The sequence below is a fragment of the Homo sapiens genome, chromosome 20 (assembly GCF_000001405.40).
Source record: "Homo sapiens chromosome 20, GRCh38.p14 Primary Assembly".
Lineage (NCBI taxonomy): Eukaryota > Metazoa > Chordata > Mammalia > Primates > Hominidae > Homo > Homo sapiens.
Genome location: NC_000020.11, coordinates 48,554,968 through 48,566,946, shown reverse-complemented (window position 1 = coordinate 48,566,946; position 11,979 = coordinate 48,554,968). Strand labels below are relative to the sequence as shown.

Sequence of the window (11,979 nt, the reverse complement as noted above, 5' to 3'; positions counted from 1 at the left end):
CTTCCCTTTGGCATATCCAAATGGTTGGCATCACTACTGTTGTGTTTGTTTTGCCAAGGTCTGTGAGAAGACACAGGACAAAAAGAAGGAGCCCATTGGTGTGACCATGAAATGTGCAAATGAGGACTGAAGGGTTTCCATGCCGTAAACAGGGTCAGGTCAACTAGGATATCAGAGACACTCTCAGCTCGCCCACTGTCAACCTTTTACTTAAAAGGAATTAAAAAAACAAAAGGACTGTGTGTCACTTACCCCAATATTTTATTTTAAACGTTTTTAAACAAAAAATTTTACAGTGAACACCTTATACTCACCACCTAGACTCCACCATTAACATTTTACTATTCTTGCTTTATAATATATCTATTTGTTTCATGTCCTTTCAATGATTTCTTCAGCATCTGGGGAGAACCGTAGCCCCAGCACAGAAGAAGACAGCGTTATCTTCAGACACTGGTCCATCCATGACTCCATTTGATGGACTGATTCACTCCTGTTTCCCTCCAGCTGCTGTCCACAGAGCAGAAACCCCAGCTGACCCCGGAGAAACCCACAGAGGGATCATTACTGCCTGGGAGTGCTCTCAAGGCACCAGCACGAGTGCCAGGGCAACGAGCACAGAGTCCACAGCGCCCCTCTTTCTGGCTTTATCCCACCTGCTTCAGCCCCCCGTGGATAAGGGCTGATGACTGTCTGTGCCAATCACGTTTCTCCACCCAACATCCAGGGGAAGCCAGTTAAAATCCCTCCTGACCTCAGGGCCTTTGCACTTGCTGTGCTCTGTGCCTGGATGGCTCTTTCACCAGATGTCTTTGTGGCTTCCTCCCTCAGCTACCTCAGCTCTCTCTTCAAATGTCACCTTCTCAGTAAGGCCCTCCTTGCCTGCTCCATTTGAAATTGCAGCCTCTTACGATTCCTGCCCGTTCTCTGTCCTCCTTGCCAACACCCACCACTATCTGACATGACACATATTTTGCATGTGCTTATTTATCTTACTTCACTAGAATGTCTGTTTCAGGAGCATTGTATGGGCTTCGTTCATGGCTGTATCCCATCACTGAAGCAATGTCTGGCGTACTAGTAGATGCTTGAATACATTTATTTGAAAAAATGCTTTCCCTCTGTTTTAAAGTACACTGGATTGATGGAAAATTCGAGGTATAATAAGTCAGGAAAGGACTGCCACTCAAAAGAGGGTTTGTTACAGGTCCCGACAGGAGGGGACACACCATACCATGGGGACCACCCAGGGAAGCGCTGGGGTTGGCAGAGGAAGAAGGAGAGGGAGTGAATGTGGGAAAGAGCCTTGATTGTGGCTTTGGAGGGACGAAATGAGGAAGGCGAGGTAAGCAGGTTTTGGGATTGGCTAGTTAGTTTCAATAATTTCAGGGGGCCCTGGGGCATAGGGACTGCCCCTAGCTGTCTGGCACCTGGCCCTGGCGTGACTAGGGAATGGAATAGGAGGGTCCAATAAAGGAGGGGGTTGGAGCATTGGCTCTGGGTTGGTTGGTTTGTATTTGAAAAGCATGCTTTATCAAGAATTGGCTAACCCTCAGAAAGGCAGGTCAGGGTCAGCATGGTCCCAGATACCAAAGTGTCGGAATACAGAAAATAAAACACGTGGTTAGTGCACCCTCCTCCTAGTTACAGCCTTTCGCCTCGATAAGGGAGGTAACGCCTTCTCCCTTATCCACCTTACATGTTTGGCTGTAGGATGGAGCATGTGACCCAGGCTAAGCCAGTCAGCACATCCCATTTCTCTAGCCAGCGATTGGCTCAGAGACAAACATGTGACCCAGGTCTGGCCAATAAGAGAGAGGAACTCAGGCTCAGCTAAGGATAAAGGGACGGGTTAATTAGAGGGTGGGCTGGAGGCTAAACCAAGTGTAATCATCCTAGTTCCCTTTGTCAATTATTGGTATATGGGTGGATGTATTAAATATTACTAGGGCCAGAGGAAGCACAGGATGCCTAGTTACATTCACCTTCCAGAAAAACAATGAATAATTGTTTAGCATAAACTTGTCCCAATTTAAATTTAGTACGTTTATTTGCTGAATATGGCAACCACATATATAACCCACACCTGGCAAAAAGACAAAGTGATGTCTGTTGTGTGGGTGGAGGGGCTGAGTTCCATGAAAGTTCCTGCTGAAGAGAGAGACAGCAAAGTGTCCTGCCATTTCTTCCTACCCTGTGGGTGGATATGATGTCTGGAACTCTGCAGCCATCTTGAGACCGTGAGGCATTAAGGTTGAAGACATGATAAGGATGGTGGAACACAAGGATGGAAAGATTCTGGCTCCTAATTCCACCATAGTGAGAGGTGACAGCATGTTGGCAGCCCTGCAGCCCTTGCTTGCTCTCGGTGCCTCCTGGGCCTTGGCGCCCACTCTGGCCGCGCTTGAGGAGCCCTTCAGCCCACCTCTGCACCGTGGGAGCCCCTTTCTGGGCTGGCCAAGGCCGGAGCCGGCTCCCTCAGCTTGCAGGGAGGTGTGGAGGGAGAGGCGCAGGCGGGAACCGGGGCTGCACACGGCGCTTGCCGGCCAGCGTGAGTTCCGGGTGGGCGTGGGCTCAGGGGGCCCGCACTCGGAGCGGCTGGCCGGCCTGCAAGCCCCAGGCAGTGAGGGGCTTACCACCTGGGCCAGCAGCTGCTGTGCTCGACTTCTTGCCGGGCCTTAGCTGCCTCCCTGCGGGGCAGGGCTCGGGACCCACAGCCCGCCATACCTGAGCCTACCCTCCGCGGTGGGTTCCTGCGCGGCCCCAGCCTCCCAGACGAGTGCTGCCCCCTGCTCCACGGCACCCAGTGCCATCAACCACCCAAGGGCTGAGGAGTGCAGGTGCATAGCACGGGACTGGCAGGCAGCTCCACCTGCGGCCCCAGTATGGGATCCACTGGGTGAAGCCAACTGGGCTCCTGAGTTTGGTGGGGACTTGGAGAACCTTTATGTCTAGCTAAGGGATTGTAAATACACCAATCAGCACTCTGTATCTAGCTCAAGGTTTGTAAACACACCAATCAGCACCCTGTGTCTAGCTCAGGGTTTGTGAATGCACCAATTGACGCTCTGTTTCTAGCTACTCTGCTGGGGACTTGGAGAACCTCTGTGTGGACACTCTGTATCTAGCTAATCTAGGGGGGAGGTGGAGAACTTTTACGTCTAGCTCAGGGATTGTAAATGGCACCAATCAGCACCCTGTCAAAATGGACCAATCAGCTCTCTGTAAAACAGACCAATCGGCTCTCTGTAAAATGGACCAATCAGCAGCATGTGGGCGGGGCCAGATAAGAGAATAAAAGCAGGCTGCCAGACCTAGCAGTGGCAATTCATTTGGGTCCCCTTGCCGTTCTGTGGGAGGTTTGTTCTTTTGCTCTTTGCAATAACTTGCTGCTGCTTACTTTTTGGGTCCACACTGCTTTTATGGGCTGTAACACTCACGACGAAGGTCTGCAGCTTCACTTCTGAAGCCAGCGAGACCACGAACCCACCGGGAGAGAACGAACAACTCCAGACGCACCGCCTTAAAAGCTGTAACACTCCCCGAGAGGGTCCGCGGCTTCATTCTTGAAGTCAGTGAGACCAAGAACCCACCAATTCCGGACACGATAGTGCTGCCAAACCAGCCTGGAAAACGCGGCCTTCTGGACTTCTTGTACCGTGCGGTAAGGAAAAGTCTCTATTGCTTAAGTCAGTGGTTCTTGTCTTAGCTGTGCACTAGAAGCACCTGGGGGGATTTAAAATTTGCCAATTCCCAGACCACACCCCATACCAATTAAATTGGAATTCTGGAGGATTCCAATTAAGTTGGAAGCTCCCTGGTAGTTGCAGTGTACACCCCTCTGCTACTCAAATTATGGTCCCTGGACTAGAAGCGTGGACTTTACTTAAGAGCTTATTATAGATGCCATTCCATGCCCAATGAATTAGAAGCTGCTGTTTAACAAGGAACCCAGGTGATTTGTATGCACACGAAAGTTTCAGAAGCACTGACTAAGCAACTGTTAATTTACTCTACTCCTTGCAGCTGAACAAATCCTGATTCACATTCAAATAGTCAGCACTCCAAGTCACTAAGAATCCCAGCCCATCAAGGGTTCCCTTTTTCAGAAAGAGCCAGATGATCTGCATTCAGAAGCGTGGTGTCTCCTGGCTACTGTCCATCTCTACAGCAGGTCACACACAATTTTTTGGATCATCTGATTTTCACCAGAGCATGAATCTCTTCGGGACTTCTGTGTAAACAGTTTTCTCAAACTTTTAGCCAAAAAGCTTCTCTCCTCCAGCCCCTGGGGTGGGTCACGTCACTCCTGAGGCCCTGAATGGGAGCCAGTGAGAAGGGCTGTTGGCAACTTTCTTCCCTTAACACGCTTGGCTTCCACTTGGTCAGACACTTCTTGGGTAGTGGTTATGGTACCCAGGGATGGACCTGTCCATCAATCCACATAAGAAAGCTGCGCAAAACGATCCTGGGGTTGGGATAGAAATTATCTAAGTCTCCATCAGGGCCCAGGTGTACAAAACTGGGGGCTAGGATTTTCATAAGATGAAGCTATGGGTCAGAGGCCAGGACCACTGGGCAACGCAGACTCAAAGTCATAAGATGTGGGTTTCAAAATCATAAGCGAGCATGAAGAGCTGCAGATGAAGCAGTCTCTGGGTGGAGAGAATTCCCTGCTTCTGAGGGAGATGATGTCTAAGAACTGGTAGTCTCTATTATGGGACAGGATGGGCTGGGAATATTCCCCATACAGCCTAAATCAGGAGACTAGAACCATCTCTGTGATGCAGGTCTCAACACTTCACCAATTCCAGAACAGTGGAGAGAAAAATCATCCCTCAATCAAAGGGGAATGAGCGCCAAATGCCAGCGGTGTTCTCTGTATGATTGTATTGCCTTTATAAATACATTAACCAGGTGTTCAAGATCATTGCATAGGAGCCATATTCTGGGCAACAGACACACGTAGGTTCATTTGGACACACGGGCGTGCACGCACACCCAGGGGCATATTGTCACTCTCCAACCCGGCGTTTTATAGTCAACTCATCACTCAGCTGATAAGTTTGGAAACTTAGCATGTTATTAATGCTTCAGGGGAAGTAATATATTTAAAAAACCCAAAAAACCCCCAAAAAAACAAGCCAGCAAGTATCACCAAAGCCTGAACCTCACACCCACCTTCTAAGCCATGGTGTGTACTTAAACTTGGCCCAGGGCAGGAAGGGTCTTCATGAACAAATGTCCTATGTGCCACCAGCCTAGCCCAGCACCATTACTCTTTGAGTTGCTTATGAGGACACTAAAGTTGCTTATGAGGACACCTTGTGGGCTGCCTTGAGTTTTCTCTCCTCCTCGATGCTGCACAAGCAAGAGGCCAGGGGTCTTCAGTCTGTCCTCTCCACCCCGTTTCTATATTTAATGAATGACTTTTTTTTTTTGGATACAGAGTCTCATTCTGTTGCCCAGGCTGGAGTGCAGTGGCACGATCTCTGCTCATTGTAACCTCTGCCTCCCGGCAGCTGGGATTACAGGTGCCCGCCACAGTGCCCTGCTAATTTTCTTATTTTTAGTAGAGAGAGGGTTTCACCATGTTGTCCAGGCTGGTCTTGAACTTCTGATCTCAAGTGATCTGCCCACCTTGGCCCCTCAAGTTCTGAGATTACAGGCATGAGCCACTGTGCCCAGCCATTAATGACTTTAAGTTAATTAGAACACTCTGGTGGCTCTGTAACAGGAGATGGAGATGCAGTAAGAAATCCCTTTCACAGTTCGCTACAAGGTGAACAAATCTGGGGGTGTCCTCTAGGGAAAGTCTGTCTCCCTGCTCTCTGTCTCCACTGAGAACCTGCTTTAGAGCAGCCTCCTCTTCTCTTCCCCAGTGACAGGGAGCCTGGTGGGAAAGAGACGGGTGACAAGAGGGGCGAGAGGGCAGTGTTCCAACACACACATGAGCAAATACCCAGATTCAAACATAAACCTAAGTTTATGGAAAAATTAATGCTCAAAGACGTAAAGGGTCTTGCTCAAGGTCACGAGGCTGGCAAGTGGGGTTTGAACCAGGTGGAACTGTACCTTGACGTGGAACGCATACCCTTTCCACCGCGCTGGTGCTTTTTTTTTTTTTTGAGACGGAGTTTTGCTCTTGTTGCCCAGTCTGGAGTGTAGTGGTGTGATCTCAGCTCACTGCAACCTCCGGCTCCTGGGTTCAAGCGATTCTCCTGCCTCAGCCTCCAGAATAGCTGGAATTACAGGCGTGCACCACCACACCCAGCTAATTTTTGTATATCTAGAGATGGACTTTCACTATGTTGGCCAGGCTAGTCTCGAACTCCTAACCTCAGGTGATCCACCCACCTCGGCCTCCTAAAGTACTGGGATTACAGGCATAAGCCACCATGCCCAACTGCACCAGTGATTTTCTAATTGGGCCCTTAGAGTCCAAGAAAGTGCCATCAGGGTCTAGGGGCTGGGGCAGGGAGGCCCAGGGGTAGGACCTGCTTTTTAGCTGCTTTTTATGTTGAGTCCTAGATAAGATGTGTGAGAGTGTGTGTGTGTGTGTGTTGCCAAATAAAATACAGGATTCTTGGTTAAATCTGAATTTTTGATAAATTAATTTTTTAGTATAACCATGTCCTATGTGATATTTGGTGCATACTTACATAAAAAATTATTCTTTGCTTTTCTGAAATACATTTTTTTGTGTGCTGAATCTGGTGAATCTGGTTGTGTGTATGTAGAGAGGAAAAATAGTTTTGGAAACCACTGTGTCACCGCATATTGCCTTCCCTCGGGCCTTGAGTTTTTGAGGCCTCTCTTCCCCACACTGGGCCCTGCCTATAATTTTCTACTCTATCCCTTTCCTGCCATCAAGGAAACACCATGAAGGGGACGTGGCAAATTGAATTTAGCATAGAAGAGGGGGCTGTGGCTGGGCTGGTGGTATCACTTGTTTACTTGGGTTTTCTTTCCATTGTCACTGTTCAAAGGTCCCGTGTGGTGATGTCTGCATTTTGCCCCTTCTCCTTTAGGGGAGAGGGGACAAATCTTGTTTGTGACTGTGTGTGTGTGTGTGTGTGTGTGTGTGTGTGTGTGTGTGTGTGTGTGTATATGTATGCATGTGTGTGTTTGCCTGTGAGTCCCGCTGTAAGTCTGTGCGTGTGTGTGTATGCATGTGTGTTTGCCTGTGAGTGCCTCTGTGTGTGCGTGTGTATGCATGTGTGTTTGCCTGTGAGTGCCTCTGTAAGTGTGTGCGTGTGTGTGTGTGTGTGTGTGTGTGTGTGTGTTCATTGTAGGCAGGTGCTGTAGGTCAGGTGTTTTAGGCTGATCTTAACTTACCAGCTCAGACACCCATGAGCTCAGGGAGTCTGCAAAGCTCCTTCAGCCACCTTTCTTCCCCATAATTCCCAGCAAACTACTTGGTCCTCTGGGTTCAAGGCCTCAGCCTGTTTTCCAGGTCCTTCCATGCAGGTGGGGACTGTTGGCCGCATTCTGGAGCTCGGTGTCTGCCTGGGAGACTTAGGGGCCTCAGGGTCTCAGATGTCCCTGGCGTGGGAAATCTCTCAGCCATGACTCAGCTGGGCCTGGGTGGGGCTCAGCAGAATCCTTGGGGCCCCCACAGCCTCCTGATGCTCCAGCCCCTGCTGCCTCCATCCACAGTGTCTGGCACAGCCTTTCCCCTCCCATGTCTCTCGCCCCTCATGACATCTCTCACTGGTATCATCCTGGATGGACAATTGGGCCTTTCAAGCTCTTCATGCCACCCCGACTCTTCCCAAACCCCCTTGAGGGGATCTTTCTTTTGATGTGTATAAGTCATGCTATTCCTTCTATGGCTTTCTTGGCAGCATTTTGTGAAGAATGCCTGACTTACGTTTAATGACAAAGAGAGAGAGAATTGCTCTTGCTTTGTGTGTCCTTCCATTGAGAGGCTGAAGTATAATCCGAACAGTTTGTCTGAGCATGTTCTGGCTGAGTTTGGATTGGAGCTTGGAGCAGATGGGATTTTATGAGGGTTGTAAAAGTCAGGCTTTTAATATGTGTCAACCAAATCAATGTGTAAAGGAGAAATGTTAAAAGTAGGGAAATGACTGGGGTCTGGAGCACAAGGACACTAAACTGGGGCACAGGTGGCTTTAATAGCTCACGAAATTTGGCTCAAACTCTTCCACGAGAGCAGAAGAGGCTGCAGAGTCACCCTCATGGGATTGGGATAAAGGTCTAAGCTCCTGAGTGGGGACAGTTGTGCATGGGGCTTTATAACAAAATTCTAGCATCATCCATACAATACACTCTTGTGGTTAATTCTGCCTGAGTTTTCATTTAAACCCAGGCTGTCTCATTGGTAGAACGCAATTACATTAGAGAGAAACTGTTTCTGTGTCTTGAGATATTATGATTATGAAAAATAGCAACATAAACAACTATTAAGTCAGAAGAAATTTAATTGTATTTTATGCCGCCTCTCTGGGCTGGCACGCCGGCATAGACATGATTCACATCAACAAAGCACGGCTAATTTTTGTAGCACAGTACACATTTTCTCCCTTAATTACAAATAATTGTGTAGTGTAGTTTATACTAATGCCCAAGGCCTCAAAGTGCACATTCAGGAATAAAGGGTTAGTTTGGGGGTGGATTCTAAACGGTGTAACTGTGGTCTCCTGGGGTGGCATGCGTTTAACCTTGGAAAGCAATGAGGTTTAATCAGAATTCTTACCAGTGAAAGACAGCAGGGCTGCCTCCAATTAGGAGGAAAATTTGCAGAGAGCAGTGACAGTTTGTCTAGCTGCTTAACCATCCACCCATAGTTCTTTTTTGGATAAGCAGGCAAGGAAGATTAAACTTGTAGATTTCACTGTGTGATGAAACTGAGGCACACAGGCCTTTGTTAAGCAGCATTAATCACATGTAAGTGAATATTAAAATAAGGTGTCCCCAGGCAGCACAGCTCCAGATCTCTGCGGAAAAGGTAGAGCTCATGGATCTTTGGTGGACAAAAGTTCTTGAAAGGGGGAAGCAGGATCTATTTGACCATAAATGCAATTCAGTTTAGGGCTCTCTCTAAGATAGCACACCTGGTTTTGCAATCCCCGTCCAGAAAAATCACTTATGAGCTGATATATTATGGTGGTGATTTAATAAAAGAGCAGTACAGCCCCAAGGCCAATGTTCTAACTAACCTGGGCTCTGCCTCCACTGGCTGGCCCCTCCTTCCTCCTTAGCTGACCTCCCTGGGCCTCAGTTTCCTCATCTTAAGAATGGGGTTACTATCAAGGACACTGCAAGCTGTCATGTGGATTAAGATTAATGAAGGTAAAATGCATACTCGGTGTCTGGTTTAGGGCGGTGCACAATGAGTATTCATGGAATCAGAAACGTGCTGTCATATGAGGCCCTGGGATGTTCTTCCATTGCCTGCAAAACTTGACTATGAAAATCCAGGGCAGTGGGTCCTCATGAATCCAGTTTCCACCATCAGCCCTCTAAAGGGTTCCCCTGTGGATAAAACAAATTTTATAGTCTGTTTGCAGCTGCATTCACTGAGATTCATAAAGAATCATAAGCTGGGCTATAGGAGTTATCAGCTGGTGTTGTCTGTTTAGACGATTAGTGAATTAAGGGCTTTTTTCTTTGACTTCGACAGGGACCATACTCCAGTGGGCCATTAACAGATGCTATTTGGGACTGATGGCCACAGGCTGTCTGTCTCAGCAGCGAGGAACCCCTCAAATAGGCACTGTTCTTGGATTACTCACAGGCTGAGTTCTGACCCTGCAGTGTCACTGCAGAGCAGGCAGCCAACCTTCCCTGGAGGAAGGGGAGGGAAAGGGAAGATATCCGAGCTGCTTTGCAGGGGATCTGCTGCCGTCATGGAGCCCAGGAAGCAGATGGCTGCTTTGTGTTTTGGAGGCTATCTGCATGGGCTCCAGGAAGGTATTTTGACCAAGGTGACCGGATTGTGCAGCAGCCTTGGACATCTTTGGTGAGATCCTCATTTTTTCATTCATTTGACAAATGTGTGTTAGGTTGTTAAGCCCTGGGCGACAGCAAACACTGGGGTATAGAGTCTGACCCTGTTCTAGGGTTGCCAGATCAAACACAGGACACCCAGTTAAGTGTGAATTTCAAATAAACAAGGAATAGTATTTTAGTATAAATACAAGTACAGGCCAGGCGCAGTGGCTCACACTTGTAATCCTAGCACTTTGGGAAGCAGAGGTGGGCAGATTGCCTGAGCTCAGGAGTTTGAGACCAGCCTGGGCAACACGGTGAAACCCCGTCTCTACTAAAATACAAAAAATTAGCCGGGCATGGTGGCGGGTGCCTGTAATCCCAGCTGCTCGGGAGGCTGAGGCAGGAGAATCACTTGAACCCAGGAGGTGGAATTTGCAGCGAGCCAAGATCGCGCCATGCACTCCAGTCTGGATGACAGAGCGAGATTCCGTCTCCCCCGCACCAAAAAAAATATGAATACACCTCTTGGTAAACCTGGCACCCCTATCCTGCTCCCAAGGGATTAGGTCAGAGTTTCTTAACCTCAGCACTGTTGACATTTGCAATCGGATCATTCTTCATTGTGGGGCTGTCATGTGCATTGTAGAATGCTTGACAGCGTCCCTGGCCTCTCTCTACCCACTAGATGCCAGTAGAAACATCCCCCATGATATGACTCCAAATATGTCTCCAAATACTGCCACATGTTCCTATGACATACAGTCGCCCCTGGCTGAGAACTGGGTTAAGCCTGGTAGGCTACCCCAAGTAAGCATACAAAGAGTTTGTGGCAGCGACTACTAGTTGCTTACCCAATATCTAGTCTCTCTTGTTAATAGAATTCTGCTTTTTTTTTTCGGTGCACATGATGAACTTTCAAAAACTCTCAGTGAGATTGACACTGCCAAGGAATGGCTGTTGCCACTCCCCTAAGGAAGTGTCTCCCAAAACCTGGGGAACAAGAGGGCTCAGAGGAGAAGGAACCAAAATGGGCAGAGTGCTAGCCACAAGTCTGGAGGCTCTGATGAGGCAGGTGTTGCAATCTTGCAGAAAGGAGCTTTCTTTGTGACTTGTCCAGTCTGTGTCCCTCATGTCCTATTGTCAGAATCTTGACACAAAGAAGCAATTTGGAGGGAGTGGGTTAATCTCTCAGGACCTGGGAACCTGGAAGAGAGCTCAGAGTAGAATGTTATACTCTCCCCTCAGGCAGGAACCTGTCCCTCAAGGGGGAGGAACCAACACTCTGCAGTCCCAGAGTGAGCCTATGATCAATTCTGGCCAATGAGATGTAAAAGGAAGTGTTCTGGGCTTTGCAGGAATCATTGTTCTCTTCATTAAATCCAGAGGTCTTGAGCATCTGGAGGCCCCTGACTTCTGTGCCCTTCATCCTGCTTAGACATTGTCCCGTGAGGTGCTGATGCTGGAGTTATGGCGGCCATACTATGATTGTGGGCAGAGACGTTACCAACCTGAAGGCTGAGCAAAAGGAGGGAGAGTCTGAGTGGCTGAATCAGCCCCAAGACCTCTTGTTAAGTCAGCAGGAAATGTCCTCACAGTATTGTTACTTACAGTCAAAGAGTCCCCCAAGGATCCAGGTTTATGTGGTCAATAATAATGTGAGTTCAGCTGTATTAGCTTTCTGTGGCTGCTGTAACTAATTGCTACAAACTTAGTGGTCTAAAAGAACACATATTGACACTCTTACAGCTCTGGAGGTCAGAAGTCAGAAATGAGTTTTATGGGGCTCACATCGAGGTGTCAGCAGTGGCTCCTCCTGGATCTCCGTGGAGAATGTGCTCCTTATCTCTTCCAGCTTCCAGGGGCTGCCTTCCTTGTCTTCATTGCGCCAATCTCTGCTTCTCTCACCACATCGTCTTCTCCTCTAACAGAACCCCTTGTGATTACGTTGAACCCACCTGGATTATCCTGAATCCGGGATAATCTCCCCAGCTCAAGATGCTTAATTTAATCACATCTGCAGAG

General features: G+C 48.4%; 1 long non-coding RNA gene across 1 annotated transcript in view; it reads left to right on the top strand.

Annotated features, from left to right (window-relative positions):
* Window positions 1-3,322: 3,322 nt before the first annotated feature.
* LOC105372646 (uncharacterized) overlaps window positions 3,323-11,979 on the top strand; it is a 37,271-nt gene continuing 28,614 nt past the window's right edge. Inside the window, exon 1 of the long non-coding RNA XR_936817.4 lies at window positions 3,323-3,664. This is a non-coding gene — a long non-coding RNA (uncharacterized LOC105372646). The remainder of the gene's footprint in view (window positions 3,665-11,979) is intronic.